This window comes from Homo sapiens, chromosome 7 (assembly GCF_000001405.40).
Source record: "Homo sapiens chromosome 7, GRCh38.p14 Primary Assembly".
Classification (NCBI taxonomy): Eukaryota; Metazoa; Chordata; class Mammalia; order Primates; family Hominidae; genus Homo; species Homo sapiens.
The window spans coordinates 23,767,697-23,787,341 of record NC_000007.14 but is presented as its reverse complement, the minus strand read 5'-3'; the positions used below and the strand labels follow the sequence as shown (position 1 = coordinate 23,787,341).

Here is a 19,645-nt window from a genome sequence, read left to right as displayed (position 1 = left end):
GTTACTCCATAAGAAGAATCAGGGCCTCCTTTACTGTTATTACTAATCCTAAACTTACAATGACAAAAATTAAAGCTGCCACTTAAGCACTTACAGTACCAAGTGCTATATTAGGCAGTTCACATACAGCACAGCTTAGCAGTTGTAAGTTTGGGCTTTGGAACCAGAAAGACTTAATTTCGAGTCCCAGCTCTACCTCTGGCTAACGGACCCTGTGCAAGTCACTTAATCTAATCCCTTTAACGCTTTTTCTCATCTATATAACACGATAACTTCTATCACAGGCTTGAGGTGACAAATAGAATACCATGAGTCAAAATTTTACAAAATACATAGCATGTAGTATGCCTGAATAAATATCAGGTGTTATTTTCTCATTTAATACATCCATGGAAATAAATAGTGCTTTTTACTTACTTCTGAATTTAAAGGCATGTTGGCTTGAACAGCATTCAGGTTTGCCCTAGGGTAGTATGGGACCATCAGATAAGCCATAGGATCAGACTAAGAAGCAAAACAGAGAATGTGACTCCAAGTAAAAACTTCTTCAACATATTTTTAGCATACATTGATTCTATGGGATAATTTTTCTTTTATGTTAAGGGGAATGAACTGCTGCTCTAAAACCTGGAGCTAAAATTTATTTTAAATAAAATAGTTTCTGCAAGATAAAATGGTTTCTGCAAGAGATTAGCATAAGAACTTTACCTTACATAAAAACAGGAATATCAATGGCAGTAACCCTGAGTCTCCTTCAGCTTCTCTCCAAGCTCTATGGTAGGTGGCTGCTCTCTCAATCACCTTGGCTTCTGTGTCAACATCCACAGAATAGCCCTTGTACCAAAGAAAGAGGCACTCGTAATTCCAAGATGAAAATCTCATTATAATTATACATCATTCCAATTTAAACATAATTCATTATTTTAAGTTAAATCAAATCTAATTTTATTTTTTAATTTTATAAGTACTTTTCTATCTTCTTTGAATGCTATAATTTGGAAAAGGAAAGTGCAATTCTACCTGTAGCCTGCTACACATTCTAGAATGTGTAGCAACTAAGGCCAAATTAATTATCTTATTATCATGATTAACAGTTTCCCAGATCAATGAGAAGAAGAAATTAAAGAGTAGAAGATTGTACTGATAACACAGCTGAGATTTCAAGGAGAAATGTAAGAAAATCAAGAATTTTAAAAAGATATTGGATGACTATAATAAGTTCACCCAAAAAAAAAGGAAAGTATATCCTATTAAGGACATATTCTATTTAGGGAAATGAGGGAAACTTTATTTTTTTTTCTTGTGAGACAAAGCTTTATTTAATGACTTTTATATACTTATTTTTATTATTATACTTTAAGTTCTAGGGTACATGTGCACAACGTGCAGGTTTGTTACATATGTATACATGTGCCATGTTGGTTTGCTGCACCCATTAACTCATCATTTACATTAGGTATTTCTCCTAATGCTATCCCTCCCCCTGCCCCCCACCCCATGACAGGCCCCCACGGGTGATGTTCCCCGCCCTGTGTCCAAGTGTTCTCATTGTTCAATTGAGGGAAACTTTAAAAGTGAAAATTAGTTCTGGCAACCAAACTACAAGCACAATTATCATGCCAGTCAACTTATACACTTTAGAAAACTAACAGTGAGGTTTTTTCTTTCTTGAAATGTAACAGCACCACTATCCTTTATGCTGCTGAATCTCCCACAAGTAAGAAGAAGTTAGACTTACCTTTAACAGAATTATCTGCCCATTAACCTCAGAACGTACCAAAGGACGCTTGCTGCTAAGTTCCTTCATGGGCTCAGCATCAAGAAGATCTCGTTCCAAGCTCATTGTAAGGAGACCACCAGAGTTCTAGGCACAAGTTTTTATCACAGTTAAAGAATCCAAACAATCCCAGCACTTAAAAATCATCAAAATAATTAGTTACACGATATTAAATGACTTGGACACCATCAACTGTACTGGAAAAACCAACAAAATTAAAATCTTTAAAACTGTGTACTTTCTCCAGTTCCTGGCTCTTAAACTCCTCCTACCCAAAGTGTAATCACCATACATTTAATTACTGCTATAATTTTAGAACAGATTCAGGAAATGACTAGAATCAACCAGACATGCATCCTAGGATCCCTAATGTTTACTTGAAAAACCACTTATGTTTCCTAAAAAATACTAAAGTAACAACTGATTGGGACGGGGGTGAGGAATGAGGGACTACATATTGGGTTAGTGTACACCACTCAGGTGATGGGTGCACTAAAATCTCAGAAATCACCACTAAAGAACTTATCCATGTAACCACAAAACACCTGTACCCCAAAAACTACTGAAATAAACATTTGTAAAAAAACAAAAAATAAATAAGGTAAAATAATGACAAAAATGTAGGTATCAAATGGGAAAGATTAGTCCAAAAATTATGACTACCATGAAGTAATTCTAACACCTCTGCCCCTGTTTGGAGTCCTCAAAAGTGAAAATGGCTTTCAATAACTAATTTTACTAGATATTTCTGCTACTTTTTAAAAGGAATAATTTTTCACACTAAAATATGATCATCAACATTTTAAACAAAGCTAAGTTTTACTGTGGTGCAGTTTCAGTAAGAGGCATTGTAGAATTGTTTTCTGGGTTTTTTTTTTAAGTCTTGTCGGTACATTTAAGTATTCTACAATACATAATCAACCTACAAAAAATTCCTAAGCATACATTACAGTTAAACATCAGAAAGCCATTAAAGACTTCAATAAACCATGAGTCAAACCTTTTATAATCTTCCATAATAAAGTAGATTAGCATATTTTTAAATATTAATTTTCAAGTCCCATGTGGCAGTACATACTTATTTGCCCACACTGCATAAGGTAATCACTAAGCTAAATAGTTGCAAGAAAAAACTCACATCATTTTAAAGTCTAGTCTAGAAAGAGTTTAGAGTAATTATTTAAGTTAGGGAACTTTAATCTTAAATATTTTTTAGAATAAACTCACATGTCTACACAAATATCCCTCTCTGTACCATATTTAAGCCATTATAATGGACTTCGTGACAATCTTAATGAATAAATACCTCATCTAGGCCCTCACTGTAGAAGGCAATATAAATCGCAGGACTAACAGATTCAGGACTAACAGATTAGTAAACCAGTGTTTACTAATCCTGCTCCCTATGGCCCCTATTTAATATGCTGATCTCCAGCTTTTGAATCCTGCCTACCTAGAAAACCATACCCACCTCAACATCTCTACCTTAACCAACCTCTCTAGAATTTTTTCCCAGACTGCTTTAACTTAAAAAACCCATTGTGCTCAAATCCCTCAGGGCTAGCAATATCTTGTTTTTATCCTAACTCTTGAAATAGCAGTTAAAATTTTATTTTGTCATTTCAAAAAGTAAACACCTATAATTCAAATAAGTGTCATGCAATGTACTGAATGAGGATGAGGAAAGCAGAAAAACGGATAATGCAAATTTACATAAAAATACAAATATATACCATGCAACTATTAAAGGGTCATAAGAAAAAGTTCTAATACCCATAAAATATTCATCAGGAGTATTTTTATTTAAAAGATACTATAAGTTTAACACTGACACAAATTTAATATTATCACTTTTCAACACCCTCTGAAGAGTAGTAATTCGCAAGGGAAACAAAGTTTACCATGTATTTGAGTAATCCTATTTCAGGATGAAGCAGAGGCAGCTCAGGGAACCATTTCTGTGCCAAACTAGTTAGCATCTCCTAAAGTTAAAAAAAAAAAGTTTTTAACTGTAGATCAATATATATTCAATTTTGACATGTTGCTCTTCAGGAAAATATATCAGCATCTACCTTATAACATATCCAGTAAGATACATAATCACTGATTTTGCCTTCTACTTCAAGAAATAACAAGTGAAAACCACGACTCACCTTGCATCTGCTAAAGCAAATTAAACATGGCCTGAGAAGGACTCCGTACTTCTATATTTGAGTCCTTGTGGATGAACTGCAACCTAGCTTAACAGGCAGACGAGACTGAAAATGTAACTTAGCAGTGTGGACCTATAACAATAGCTGAGTCTTGGCCAATCCCAGCCGCCATACTTCAACCACTTACAGACTGCTAAGTGTTCAAACTGTGTTCAAATAAGGCAAACACCAATCTGTAACCAATATAGCTGTTTCTGTACCTCGCTGCCAATTTCTGAAAGCCACTTTCCTTTTTTCGTCTATTAATTTGTTCTGACCACAAAGCATCCCCAGAGTCTCTCCGAATATGCTGTGATTCAGCTGCCCAATTTGCGAATTGTTCATTGCTCCTTTAAATTTAAGTTGGCTGAAGTTTTTTTTTTTAACCCATCTAAACTACCATCTTACTAATTGAAGAAAAATTTAATTACCAATTTTAAGCTTTGGATACATACATAAGCACAAATCTTGCAAGGTCAAAGTCCTCACCCACTTCCAAACTAAAATGAAAATGTCTGATAATATTTCAATTTGAGGCATAAAACTGTCATTATTTCTCAAAATATTAAGAACACAGTGACATTTTAAAATAACAGCTGTTTCGTTAAGAAAAATTTTTAAAGCCTAAGAGAAAAAACACATAGCTCTACATAAGTAACTTTGAAATAAATGTGAAAATTGAGTACCCTCACGAAAGAAAAGCCACTTATCACATATTTATTAAGCAAAACTTCTAAACACTTGTCAAATCATTGCAAGATCGCTATTTTAACCCAAGGTCCATAAGGTATTTACATATACGCAGATGAATTTGCTAAAGAAAGCATGACACTTACCTATTGTTTTCACAGTATTAATATTATTACTTTCTTTTCTTTTCTTTTTTTTTTTTTTTTTTTTTGAGACAGGGTCTTGCTCTGTTGCCCAGGCTGGAATGCAGAGGCATGATCATAGCTCAATGCAGCCTCAACCTCCTGGGTTCAAGCAATCCTCCTGCCTCAGCCTCCAAAGCAGCTGGGACTACAGGTACATGACACCATGACCAGCTAATTGTTGTATTTTTTGTAGAGATGGGGTCTCACCATGTGCCCAAGCTGGTCTCAAACTCCCGGGCTCAAGTGATCCGCCCGCCTCGGCCTCCCAAAGTGCTGGGACTACAGGTGTGAGCCGCCATGCCCGGTCAGTATTTTTACTTTCAAAGCACTGTTTCTTAACTAACTTCTTCCTGGTAACATCTCCCAGATATAAAATACAATATTCTTCCATTTTAAAGAAAAAATACAATGACTTATTTTCCCAAGCTCACAAAAATCAGTGGTAAAAATAGAGACTTAAAAGATGTAACTTCTCCTGCCCCCAAAACCAGGTAGACTTATTTTGTTACATTCTTCAACTAAATTATGTGCTCCATTAATGTTTTCACTGCAACATTATGGGAAAATGACGTTGATGTAAGGAAAAGGTCTTTAGGTTTTATGTTAAACAGAAAAAAGGCAATATGCAAAAGTGTGTCTGTGCTATAATCTCAATTCTAAAAACAAACAAAAAAATACTAAAAGAAAGTCAAAAGTTAACAGTGATTACTACTATTATCACTGAGTGGAAATATTACAAGTGATGTTTTTCCTTCTTTACAATTTTCAGTTATTTCCACACTGGTACAATGGTCAGAATATTTTGTCATGTGAAATTTATTTCTAAATTTACAAAAATCTTACCAGGTCAATATATATATAAACTTTCTATATAATACCTCTAGCCTTGTGATTACAGTCCACTTCATAAAACGGGTATTTAAATTCAATTTCTAGAGTAAAACCTAATGTAAAACTTCAAAGAACCAAATACTTACATATTCCTCTCTCTCATGATAAATTTCCTGAAAGACATTATTGCGCAGCTGAGTTATTTCTTCTTTTATTTTCTCAATTTGAGAGCCATCAGGATCATCTGACTTGAATCAGAAAGAAAAAGTGTTTTTTATTAACATAGAGAAAACAAGTCTTCTTTTAAGAATTCAAGTTCTATAGTAAATTACTCTGTGTGGTTTCTATGTATCCTTCAGTACCTAGCACATAAAAGACCCTTCTAATACTTGCTGAATTAACTTAGGTCAATTTATTCTAACAATGACTTTTCTGAAACCTAGAAAAAGGAATTACAAAAAGTAAAGACATAAAATCAATTATACAGATTTTTCTTGTCTCTTCATCTGCTGTAGATTTTCTCTAAGATAAAGATGGCCAACTGCCATTCGAACAAAAGAAATGTTAATAATAGCAACCAGAATACACCTGAATTCCCTAGAATTGTCTTCTACATGATATTTAGTTAAAAACAAAACAAAAGGATGAGTAAATGTGTGAACTGTCTCCAATGATAATACATAAGCCACCTTAAAAAGTATGTATGCTTTTGTGAAAGGAAAATAAATCTTGTGAACTTTAAATCACTAAGCCAAAGGAAAAAGTCAAGCTGGGAACTGTGTCAGGCAAACCAGCTTCTCATTTTATTCCTAAATAAGATAGCTACAACCATAAAAACCCTGCACACCTCTCTCACAATTTGCTCAGTAGGAAATTCCTTATGGGTCTCAGGATCTTCACCCTAAAACAGTTCTGTTGAATTTTACCCTGACAAGGTAAATTGATGGCTTATTTTCTCAGGTGCAGGACAAAGGACAGAACTCTAAGTCATCATCCCTTTGCTCAACTGAGACAAATGCATATCTGATTCCTTCCTCTGATGTAAAAATGCAGATTCACTGAGCTAGTGACTATTCCTCTACCCCTCTCTCAAATGTAAATAGTGTATTTGCTGAAAGGTGATCAAGGATTAAAGAATTCAAACCATCTGTCTCTTATCTACTCACATCTTTTTAAAATTTCTTCCTCTTTCCCCAGTATCCATCCTTTCCCTTTTAAATATTTAAGCCCTCAAAATCATCTCTGAGAAAGGCACAGACCTGCCTCCCAGGCATGCATCCTTAACCTTGGCAAAACAAACTTTCTAAATTGATTGATACCTGCCTCAGATAGTTTGGTTTACACTTTAAAAGTCAGATTTCAAGGATCCAGATACTAAGATGGCCAAATAGTAACAGCTCCGGTCTGCAGCTCCCAGCGAGATCAACAGACAAGGTGAGTGATTTCTGCATTTCAAACTGAGGTACCCGGCTTATCTCACTGGGACTAGTTAGACAGTGGGTGCAGCCTACAGAGGGCAAGCAAAAGCAGGGTGGGGAGTCACCTCACCCAGGAAGTGCAAGGGGCTGGGGAACTCGCTCTCCTAGCCAAGGGAAGCCATGAGGGACTGTGCCATCAGGAACGGTTCATTCTGGCCCAGATACTATGCTTTTCCAACAGTCTTCACAACCCACAGAGCAGGAGATTCCCTCAGATGCATACATCACCAGTGCCCTGGGTTTCAAGCACAAAACTGGGCAGACGTTTGGGCAGACACCGAGCTAGCTGCTGGAATATTTATTCATACCCCCCTTGCACCTGGAATGCCAGCAAGACAGAACCGTTGACTCCCCTGAAAAGAGGGTTGAAGCCAGGGAGCCAAGTGGTCCTGCTCAGCAGATCCCACCCCCATGGGGCCCAGCAAGCTAAGATCCACTAGCTTGAAATTCTCACTGCCAGCATGGCAGTCTGAAGTCAACCTGGGTCACTCCAGCTTGGTTGGGGGAGGGGCCTCTGTCATTACTGAGGCTTGAGTAGGCAGTTTTCCCCTCACAGTGTAAACAAAGCCACCAGGAAGTTCAGACTCCACGGAGCTCACCGCAGCCCAGCAAAGCCTCTGTAGCCAGACCGCCTCTCTAGATTCCTTTCTGGGCAGGGCATCTCTGAATGAAAGATAGAAGCCCCAGTCAGGGGCTTATAGATAAAACTCCCATCCTCCTGGGACAGAGCACCTGGGGGAAGGGGCGGCTGTGGGCATAGCTTCAGCAGACTTTAATGTTTCTGCCTGCCAGCTCTGAAGAGAGCAGCGGATCTCCCAGCACAGTGCTCGAGCTCTGCTAAGGGACAGACTGCCTCCTCAAGTGGGTCCCTGACCCCCATCCTCCTGACTGGAAGACACCTCCCAGCAGGGGACGACAGACACCTCATACAGGATAGCTCTGGCTAGCATCTGGCAGGTGCCCCTCTGGGATGAAGCTTCCAGAGGAAGGGACATGTAGCAATCTTTGCTGTTCTGCAGTCTCCACTGGTGATACCCAGGCAAACAGGGTCTGCAATGGACTTCCAGCAAACTCCAGCAAACCTGCAGCAGAGGGGACTGACTGTTAGAAGGAAAACTAACAAACAGAAAGGAATAGCATCAGCATAAACAAAAAGGACGTCCACACAAAAAAAAACACATCCAAAGGTCACCAACATCAAAGACCAAAGGTAGATAAATCCAAGAAGATGAGAAAAAACCAGCACAAAAAGGGTGAAAATTTCAAAAACCAGAACATCTTTTCTCCTCCAAAGGATCACAAGTCCTCGCCAGCAACGGAACAAAACTGGATGGAGAATGAGTTTGATGAATTGACAGAAGTAGGCTTCAGAAGGTGGGTAATAACAAACTCCTCCGAGCTAAAGGAGCATGTTCTAACCCAATGGAAGGAAGCTAAGAACCTTGAAAAAAGGTTAGACGAATTGCTAACTAGAATAACCTGTTTAGAGAAGAACATAAATGACTTCATGGAGCTGAAAAACAAAGTATGAGAACTTCATGAAGCATACACAAGTATCAATAGCCAAATCAATCAAGCAGAAGAAAGGATATCAGACATTGAAGATCAACTTAATGAAATAAAGCATGAAGACAAGATTAAAGAAAAAAAATGAAAAAGAACAAAGCCTTGAAGAAATATTCGACTATGTGAAAAGACCAAACCTACGTTTGACTGGTGTACCTGAAAGTGACAGGGAAAAGGGAACCAAGTTGGAAAACACACTTAAGCATATTATCCAGGAGAACTTCCCCAACCTAGCAGGACAGGTCAACATTCAAATTCAGGAAATACAGAGAACACCAAAAACCTACTCCTCAAAAACAGCAACCCCAAGACACATAATTGTCAGATTCACCAAGGTTGAAATGAAGGAAAAAATGTTAAGGGAAGCCAGAGAGAAAGGTTGGGTTACTCACAAAGGGAAGCCCATCAAACTAACAGCAATTTCTCTGCAGAAACTGTACAATGCCAGAAGAGAGTGGGGGCCAATATTCAACATTCTTAAAGAAAAGAATTTTCAGACCAGAATTTCATATCCAGCCAAACTAAGCTTCACAAGCAAAGGAGAACTAAAATCCTTTATAGACAAGCAAATGCTGAGAGACTTTGTCACAATCAGACCTGCCTTATAAGAGCTCCTAAAGGAAGCACTAAATATGGAAAGGAACAACTGGTTCCAGCCAATGCAAAAACATACCAAATTGTAAAGACCGTCGACACTATGAAGAAACTACATCAACTAATGGGCAAAATAACCAGTTAGTATCATAATGACAGGATCAAATTCACAAATAACAATATTGACCTGAAATGTAAACAGGTGAAATGCCCCAATTAAAAGACAAGGACTGGCAAATTGGATAAAGAGTCAAGACCCATTGGTGTGCTATATTCAGGAGACCCATCTGACGTGCAAAGACACACCATAGGCTCAAAATAAAGGGATGGAGGAAGATTTACCAAGCAGATGGAAAGCAAAAAAAAGCAGGGATTGCAATCCTGGTATCTGATAAAACAGACTTTAAACCAACGAAGATAAAAAAAAATAAAAATAAAGAAGGGCATTACATAATGGTAAAGGGATCAGTGCAACAAGAAGAGTTAACTGTCTTAAATATATATGCACCCAATACAGGAGCACCCAGATTCATAAAGCAAGATCTTAGAGACCTACAAAGAGAATTAGACTCCCACACAATAATAGTGGGAGACTTTAACACCCTACTGTCAGTATTAGACTAGACAGATCAATGAGATGGAAAATTAACAAGGATATTCAGGACTTGAACTCAACTCTGGACCAAGTGGACCTAATAAACACCTACAGAACTCTCCACCCCAAATCAACAGAATATACATTCTTTTCAGCACCACATCACACTTATTCTAAAACTGACCACACAGTTGGAAGTAAAACACTTCCTGGCAAATGGAAAAGAACAGAAATCATAACAAACAAGTCTCTCAGATCACAGTGCAATCAAAGTAGAACTTAAGATTGAGAAACTCTCTGAAAACCACACAACTACATGGAAATTGAACAACCTGCTCCTGAATGACTACTGGGTAATTAACAAAATTAAGGCAGAAATAAATAAGTTCTTTGAAACCAATGAGAACAAAGACACAATGTACCAGAATCTCTGGGACACAGCTAAAGCAGTGTTTAGAGGGAAATTTATAGCACTAAATGCCCACAGGTGAAAGCGGAAAAGATCTAAAATCGACACCCTAACATCACAATTAGAAGAGCTACAGAAGCAAGAACAAACTAATTCAAAAGCTAGTAGAAGACAAGAAATAACTAAGATCAGGGCAGAACTGGAGGAGATAGAGACATGAAAAACCCTTCAAAAAAAAATCAATGAATCCAGGAGTTGGTTTTTTGAAAAGATCAACAAAATAGATAGACCACTAGCCAGACTAATAAAGAAGAATCAAATAGACACAATAAAAAATGATAAAGGGGATATCACCACTGATCCCACAGAAATCCAAGCTACTATCACAGAATACAATAAACACCTCTATGCAAATCGACTAGAAAATCTAGAAGAAATGGAAAAATTCCTGGACACATACACCCTCCCAAGACTAAATCAGGAAGAAGTCGAATCCCTGAATAGACCAACAATAAGTTCTGAAATTGAGGCAGTTATTAATAGCCTACCAACCAAAAAAAGTCCAGGACCAGACAGATACACAGGTGAATTCCACCAGAGGTACAAAGAAGAGCTAGTACCATTCTTTCTGAAACAATTCCAAACAACAGAAAAAGAGGGAATCCTCCCTAACTCATTTTATGAGGCCAGCATCATCCTCGTACAAAAACCTGGCAGAGACACAACAAAAAAAAAGAAAATTTCAGGCCAATATCCCTGACGAACATTGATGCAAAAATCCTCAATAAAATACTGGCAAACTGAATTCAGCAGCACATCAAAAAGCTTATCCACCAAAATCAAGTCAGCTTCATCCCTGGGATGCAACGCTGGTTCAAAATATGCAAATAAGTAAACAGAATGCATCACATAAACAGAACCAATGACAAAAACCACACGACTATCTCAACAGATGCAGAAAAAGCCTTTGATAAAATTTGACACACTTCTTGCTAAAAATTCTCAACTAACTAGGTACTGATGGAATGCATCTCAAAATATTAAGAGCCATTTATGACAAACCCACAGCCAATATCATACTGAATGGGAAAATCTGGAAGCATCCCTTTGACAACTGTCACCAGGACAAGCATGCCCACTCTCACCACTCCTATTTAACACAGTATTGGAAGTTCTGGACAGGGCAATCAAGCAAGAGAAAGAAATAAAAGGTATTCACATAAGAAGACAGGAAGTCAAATTGTCTCTGTTTGCAGATGACATGATTGTATATTTAGAAAACCCCATCGTCTCAGCCCAAAATCTCCTTAAGCTGATAAGCAACTTCAGCAAAGTCTCAGGATACAAAATCAATGTGCAAAAATCACAAGCATTCCTATACACCAATAATAGGCAAACAGAGAGCCAAATCATGAGTGAACTCCCATTCACAATTGCTACAAAGGGAATAAGGTATCTAGGAATACAGCTAACAAGGTATGTGAAGGACCTCTTCAAGGAGAACTACAAACCACTGCTCAACGAAATAAGAGAGGACACAAACAAATGGAAAAAATTTTCATGCTCATGGATAGGAAGAATGAACATCATGAAAATGGCCATACTGCCCAAAGTAATTTATAAATTCAATGCTATTCCCATCAAGCCACCACTGAATTTCTGCACAGAATTTTTTTAAAACTACTTTAAATTTCATATGGAACTAAAAAAGAGCCCAGATAGCCAAGACAATCCTAAGCAAAAAGAACAAAGCTGGAGGCATCATGCTACCTGACTTTAACTATACTACAAGGCTACAGTAACCAAAACAGCATGGTACTGGTGCCAAAACAGATATACAGACCAATGGAACACAAAGAGGCCTCAGAAATAATGTCACACATCTACAACCATCTGATCTTTGACAAACCTGACAGAAGCAAGCAATGGGGAAAGGATTCCCTATTTAATAAATGTTATTGGGAAAACTGGGAAAGCAATGGGGAAAGGATTCCCTACTTAATAAATGGTGTTGGGAAAACGGGCTAGCCATATGTAGAAAGCTGAAACTGGATACCTTCCTTACACCTTATACAAAAATTAATTCAAGGTGGATTAAAGACTTAAATATTAGACCTAAAACCATAACAACTCTAGAAGAAAACCTAGGCAATACCATTCAGGACATAGGCATGGGCAAGGACTTCATGTCCAAAACACCAAAAGCAATGGCAACAAAAGACAAAATTGACAAATGGGATCTAATTAAACTAAAGAGCTTCTGCACAGCAAAAGAAACTACTATCAGAGTGAACAGGCAACCTACAAAATGGAGAAAATTTTTGCAATCTACCCATCTGACAAAGGTTTAATATCCAGAATCTACCACGACTTAAACAAATTTACAAGAAAAAAACAATCCCATCAAAAAGTGGGCAAAGGATATGAACAGACACTTCTCAAAAGAAGACATTTATGCAGCCAACAGACACATGAAAAAATGCTCATCATCACTGGTCATCAGAGAAATGCAAATCAAAACCACAGTGAGATACGATCTCATACCAGTTAGAATGGTGATCATTAAAAAGTCAGGAAACAACAGACAGTGGGGAGGATGTGGAGAAATAGGAACACTTTTACACTGTTGGTGGGACTGTAAACTAGTTCAACCATTGTGGAAGACAGTGTGGCAATTCCTCAAGGATCTAGAACTAGAAATACCATTTGACCCAGCCATCCCATTACTGGGTATATACCCAAAGGATTATAAATCATGCTACTATAAAGACACATGCACACGTATGTTTAGTGTGGCACTATTCACAATAGCAAAGACTTGGAACAAACCCAGTTGCCCATCAATAATAGACTGGATTAAGAATATGTGGCACATATACACCATGGAATACTATGCAGCCATAAAAAAGGATGATTTCATGTCCTTTGCAGGGACATGGATGCAACTGGAAGCCATCATTCTCAGCAAACTATCACAAGGACAGAAAACCAAACACCACATGTTCTCACTCATAGGTGGGAACTGAACAATGGGAACACTTGAACACAGGAAGGGGACCATCACACCCCGGGGTCTGTTGTGGGGTGGGGGGTGGCAGGGAGAGAGACAGCATTAGGAGAAATACCTAATGTAAATGACTAGTTAATGGGTGCAGCAAACCAACATGGCACATGTATACCTATGTAATAAACCTGCACGTTGTGCACATGTACTGTAGAACTTAAAGTATAATAATGAAAAAAAAAACAACATAGGCAACATACAAATACACACACACACACACACACACTCACACACACACACACAAGTCAGGAAACCACAGATGCTGGAGAGGATGTGGAGAAATAGGAATACTTTTACACTGTTGGTGGGAGTGTAAATTAGTTCAACCATTGTGGAAGACAGTGTGGCAATTCCTGAAGGATCTAGAACCAGAAATACCATTTGACCCAGCAATACCATTACTGGGTATATACCCAAAGGATTATAAATCATTCTACTATAAAGACACATGCACATGTAGGTTTACTGCAGTACTGTTCACAATAGCAAAGACTTCGAACCAACCCAAATGCCCACCAATGATTGAGTGGATAAAGAAAATGTGGCACATATACACCATGGAATATTATGCAGCTATAAAAAAGGACGAGTTCGTGTTCTTTGCAGGGACAAGGATGAAACTGGAAACCATCAGTCTCAGCAAACTAACACAGGAACAGAAAACCAAACACCGCATGTTCTCACTCATAAGATGAGGTGAACAATGAGAAAATATGGACACAGGGAGGGGAACATCACACACTGGGCCTGTCAGGGGGTGGGGGTCTAGGGGAGGAATAGCATTAGGAGAAATACCTAATGTAGGTGACGGGTTGATGGGTGCAGCAAACCACCATGGCACGTGTATACCTATGTAACAAACCTGCACATTCTGCACATGTATCCCAGAACTTAAAGTATAACAAAAGTCAGATTTCTCCAAAAGTTGAAAAATCAGACTAAAAAAATCAACTTCCCCAAAGCCCAGAATAGAATAAAACTAGAAAGTTCTTCAACTATGATATTAGTTCTAGAATAGTCCTCCGCTCCACCCCCAATTCAGTGCTCAGAAGTAGAAGACAGATAATTCAAATTGGATTAAGGCATAATACAGATCCTTGTACATAAATCAAATCCTCAAAGGAACACAAAGTTTACTATCTTATTCACAAAGTTTCAAGCCTAAAGGAAGAAGTTAGTCCAGATTAGGGCATCCTAATCCTCTCCAGTTCTATTATCATATAAAAGCAACTTAAAATACTTGCAAGAAATATTACATCTATCCATAAAAAGGGAGTTAACAAAAGATACCATGATCTTAAAAATACTTTATGACAAAACGCTACCTTCGAGGGGGTACCCTGTCACCTGCATGTAGCAAGTTGGTATTACAATAAACATTCTAACAGTCCAAACTAAAAGAGCTTTTAAAATTATTCTAAAATGTTCATGTTACTAAGAACCAAGGCAGCCTAGGAAAATGTTTTTAAAGAATATTTAATGATATAGGAAAATTTTTACACTATTACTGTAATCTCAATTTTATTTATATACACAGAAAACAAGATAAAGTATATAAAACAAAATGTGAATGTAATGGCTCTCTTATTGTAAAGAGTGTATTTATGCATTATTTTTATGAAGCAGAGACCAAGTAAAATGAGATGCACATAAAGATCAGTAAGAAACAACTGTTTCCTTACCTCTTCCAAATTACTCTTTTCAACCAATTTCCATCTGAGTAGAGCTTTTAAGCTTTTCAATGTCTTCTTAATGGATAGCAAGTGATCCACACTGGGACTCTTATTTAAATATTCAATAAGCTGCTTTTTAAACTAAGTAAACAAAAGTTACGTATTTTCAAACACATAAGAAAAGTATTTATTGAACAGTGATCATTTATTATTTCTCTGTTAAGATTCAACTAGTATTTACTGAGTTCAGACTGAAATACCAAGAAAATCTATAATTTTCAACAAGACAATTCAATAGATTTCCTTTTTAATCCATGTTTCTATTTAGAAGAATATCAGTTCCAGCACTCAAAGTAACAAAGACAAAAGTAATATTTCAAACTGAGACATACAATAAAACACACATTGTTAGTATGGATGAAAAAGGAATTTCTAGTGAGGATGTAAACTGAAATCATCTTTCCCAAAAGTGGTTTGAAAATATGTATCAAGTTTTAATTAATAATGTCCATTCCTTTTAACTCAGTAATTATAGAATTTAGAAATCTGAGAAATAAAAACAAAAAATTATGCACAAACATATGTACAGTGTTATTTATGGTAGGAAAAATTGGAAGTAACCTTAATGTCCAACACACATGAAAGGTTAATGTTGTTGTACATCTACATAGGGATGAGGATTTAGTCACTCAAGATGACAGTATAGAAAAATCATATAGAAAAATGTTCATAATATACCATTAAATGAAGAAAGTATGTTTGAAGTAACTTAAAAAACAATGCAATGCATATATATATGCTCACAAACATACAGATGCACATCCAGTGAGTAAATACTCTAAAACTATCTCTTAGGCTAAGGGAATTATAAGCAATGTTTTATTTCTTATCTTTCTGTATATAGCAAATTATCTACAGTAGACTCATACAGGCAAAAAGAAAATGATGTTAAAAATTGTGGTTCTCATGGACATAATAAAATATTTAAAACAATAAAAAATTTGATATATTTATATCATCAAAAATCACCATTTCCAGTTGACAGTGAATTCTAGTAATAACAATTTACTGACACTGAGTATTAAACAACAATAGAAAAATTTAAGTACTGAAAAATTCAAATCATCAATTTATAAGATCAATAAGAGAAAGCACAATCAAACCTCAATACTGTCCTTGTACTTAGCTTGTACTGTGGCAATGAGCCTTTCCTCTGAATGAATCTTTTGCAGTACTTGACTATATGTATTTGAAATTATCTCCTTGTCTGCATCACCTTGATCCTAAATGAAATCACACACATAGAATTATACACAAAGGAATATCCAAAACAGCTAAGGCCTCCAATAACAATAGATAAACTTCAAAATTATGCCTTTAACAGATTTCCGCAGTGATTTCAAAACAGTTCTTAAACACAAATGTTTTCCTAGTCAGAAGATAGATAGATATCAAAGATGTTCATATGGCAGCCAGGCAACATAGTGAGACCAGTCCCTAAAAAAAAATTTTTAATTAGCTGAGCACAGTGGTATACACCTGTAGTCCTAGCTACAAGGGAGGCTGAGGCAGGGAGATTAAGGAGTTCAAGGCTGCAGTGAGCTAGGATCACATCAATGCACTCCAGCCTGGGCGACAGAGCAAGACACTGTCTCTCTAAAAAAAGCAAAGCCATTCATATGGGAAACTTTACCCGTATTACACCATTATTCCCAAAGCTGTGTAGAATAAGAGCATTAATGGAAATCAGGGATACTAATATGCTAAATATAAGAACTATAAACAATATATAGACCTTCAACACTTTACTTTTAGAAATCACCTGTTAACAACTACTACTAAAATCAAGTCTGACAAAACTATCTACATCAGGACTATTTAACAATATAAAACTTCTTAATGTATTTTTAATGCCAATATGAGTAAAATTATAAAAAGTAAAAAAAAGAAAAAACAAGTAAAATGAGAAGCCTAACCACTGAAACATTGGAAAGCAGCCTGAATAACTGGGAAGAGTCCCAATGAGCAATAATTAAAATTACAAAACACCCTTTGGAGTAGCTACACTAATTTTTACCTTGACACTGTAACAAAGAATATACACAATGGAGAAAGAAAGAGGATGACCACTCCATCTTGTGTGTCAACTTTCAGAGCTCTCTCAGATTTTAAGTTTTCACAAACTCTAAGGAGTCTCTTCTTATAGTCATTTGGTATGACGCATTCAAGAATCAAAATATAGACAAGATTGTCCACTCAAATTAAGAGCAGTTTTCTTAGAATTAAACAGATTTTTTATGTGAAATGTCCTATTAAAACAAAAATGTCACCTAAGAATAAGACTTTGCATGGTGTCTGGATTAGAACTAGACATTGTTACTCTTTCAACAAGCCTATTAGAAGAAAGCTAAGATCAGTCTTAATACTTTCTAACTAGCAAGAAAAACTCTATTATTGGTTAATACTTTCTAACCATGAAAGGAAACCACACTGCTTCAAAGGAGGCAATAATAAAGAATATCGATACTCACAACCAGAGCTATCTCCAGCTCTTTGCAGACACTTGACTCAGTCTTCTCTAGGATTTCATCAATATTATCCATTGCGTCTTCTGAAATCAGTGATCCTTCCACAGATAGGTCAAAAACCTCATTTGCAAAAATAAACACATGAAATATCTCATTTAATTCAATCAGCATTCATCGTGCCTTAATACCTGAAGCAGAGTATTAAGCTATACCCTGGGCAATGTAAAAGAACTAGGAATGCAGGAAAAAAAAGTGCCTACCCTCATAAAATTTATGCACTGAAAGGAAAAGGTACATACACATAGCATACTGTAAGAAAATAAATAAATGGTTAAAAGAGGAAAGAGGACAATCCTTAGGAAAAGCTGAGAAAAAGGAGGAACAAGACCGATATGATTTTTTTGAGACTAATAAAAGGAGCAATCTGACTAAAAGCTAATAAAGAACCTTGACTGGTAAGGTGGCAATTTTAAATCTGATACATAGTAGGTAGATGATGTCAGCTCTTGAACAAAGCGCGTGATTTTTAAAATATATATTCCCTGGTTTATGCTACAAACACAACCGGGCAGGAGCTTTTATTACCTTTAAGGTTCTTTGGAACCATGCTACAAGACGGTGCAGAGAAGCGTCTGTTTCACTTCTAACACTGGTGAACTCCTCTCTTTTATCACACTTCCAGTCATAAAATTTTTTAAGTATTTCATCAGAATTTGCTCCTTCTTTGGCTTGTCCATACACTGCTTCTAAAGAGACTGACAAATCCTGCAGAGAGATATACTTCTGTTTATTAAAGTTTATTAACTAATTCAGGATTCGAGCACTGTGTTAGGATCTAAGGGGTAGAAAAGCAGTATGCTGAATCCCCATTCTTGAGAATTTCATAAATACAACTTAGAATCATCAGATAGAGATGAAAACACAAAACTACCTAGAAGGTGGTTTATTTGGACCATAACAGTAAAGTTTATTAAGTGAATTAGTTACAAATAGAAAGCTTTATATCCTTATGGTTTTTAATTAAGTAGACATTACCCTGTTTTCCCTAACTTTTTGTATAAATTTATTAAGTACAAGAGTAATTTTGCTACATGGATATATTGTGTAGTGGTAAAGTCTGGGCTTTAGTGTATCTATCATCCAAATGTACATTGAACCCATTAAGTAATTTCTCAACATCCACCACTCTCCACCCCTAATCACCCTTCTGAGTCTCCTTTGTCTATCATAAGAATCACTACTGTTTGTCCTGGCATGAAAGTTTCTAAGACCGATTGCCAAATAAAAATAAACTACACGCTAAAATATACAAATAATTCTAATTAAGTAAAGACATTAAACATATATATGGACAATCATGCATCACTTAACAACACGGATATCTTCTAAGAAATGCATCGTGAGGCAATTTCATCATTATGCAAACATCATGGAGTGTACTGATGCAAACCTAGATGGTATAAATTTACTACACAACCAAACTACATGCTATAGCCTACTGCTCCTAGATATAGCATGTTACTGTGCTGAATAATGTAAGCAATTGTAACAATGATTGCCTATGTAAACACAGAAAAGGTACAGTTAAGTACTATAATTTTATGGCACCACCACCATATATGCAGTCCATCACTGACCAAACCATGCAGCCCTTGACTGTACTTAAAGGCATTTTTTTAATGAATTGGCCTGGCTGGGTTTGTCGGGGCAGGTGCACAAAAAAAAAATAACAGTAACAATAAAATTTTTTAATGTAATAAAGAATTGGAAAAGACAAGATAGGCACAGCCTGCTAGCTCTCTCCAGAAATCAAACCCTAGAAATTTTACAGAGATAAGAAAAAAAGCTTAAGAGATCTCAGAAGTTTTTAATCACAAAACTCTGAGAAATCTTAGGCAGAGGATGGTTGGTGTTTAGCATTGAATTAACAAAGTCCCTACAAGTGAAAGAAGGACTGTGTCACAGCACAGAATTACCTGTGGGAAAAGAAAACTTTTTTCATAGGCTCTTCTCTCTCCCTCACATCAGAAAGAAAAACAGCAGCACCATCAAGAGGCAACAGG

At 36.5% G+C, this 19,645-nt stretch overlaps 1 protein-coding gene across 9 annotated transcripts in view; it reads right to left on the bottom strand.

Annotated features, from left to right (window-relative positions):
- Positions 1-19,645, bottom strand: part of STK31 (serine/threonine kinase 31) — a 122,432-nt gene that overhangs the window by 45,172 nt on the left and 57,615 nt on the right. For all 9 annotated transcript variants that reach the window (NR_048542.2, XM_011515452.4, XM_011515449.4 and 6 more), the window contains 9 exons: positions 18,168-18,347; positions 17,586-17,702; positions 16,218-16,337; positions 15,064-15,195; positions 5,822-5,923; positions 3,679-3,759; positions 1,739-1,864; positions 709-834; positions 418-504 (listed from right to left, as the gene is read on the bottom strand). Coding sequence is in view for 8 of the 9 variants with exons in the window: in XM_011515452.4 (XP_011513754.2) it covers positions 418-504; positions 709-834; positions 1,739-1,864; positions 3,679-3,759; positions 5,822-5,923; positions 15,064-15,195; positions 16,218-16,337; positions 17,586-17,702; positions 18,168-18,347 (1,071 nt within the window). In the remaining variant the exon portion in view is untranslated. The remainder of the gene's footprint in view (positions 1-417; positions 505-708; positions 835-1,738; positions 1,865-3,678; positions 3,760-5,821; positions 5,924-15,063; positions 15,196-16,217; positions 16,338-17,585; positions 17,703-18,167; positions 18,348-19,645) is intronic.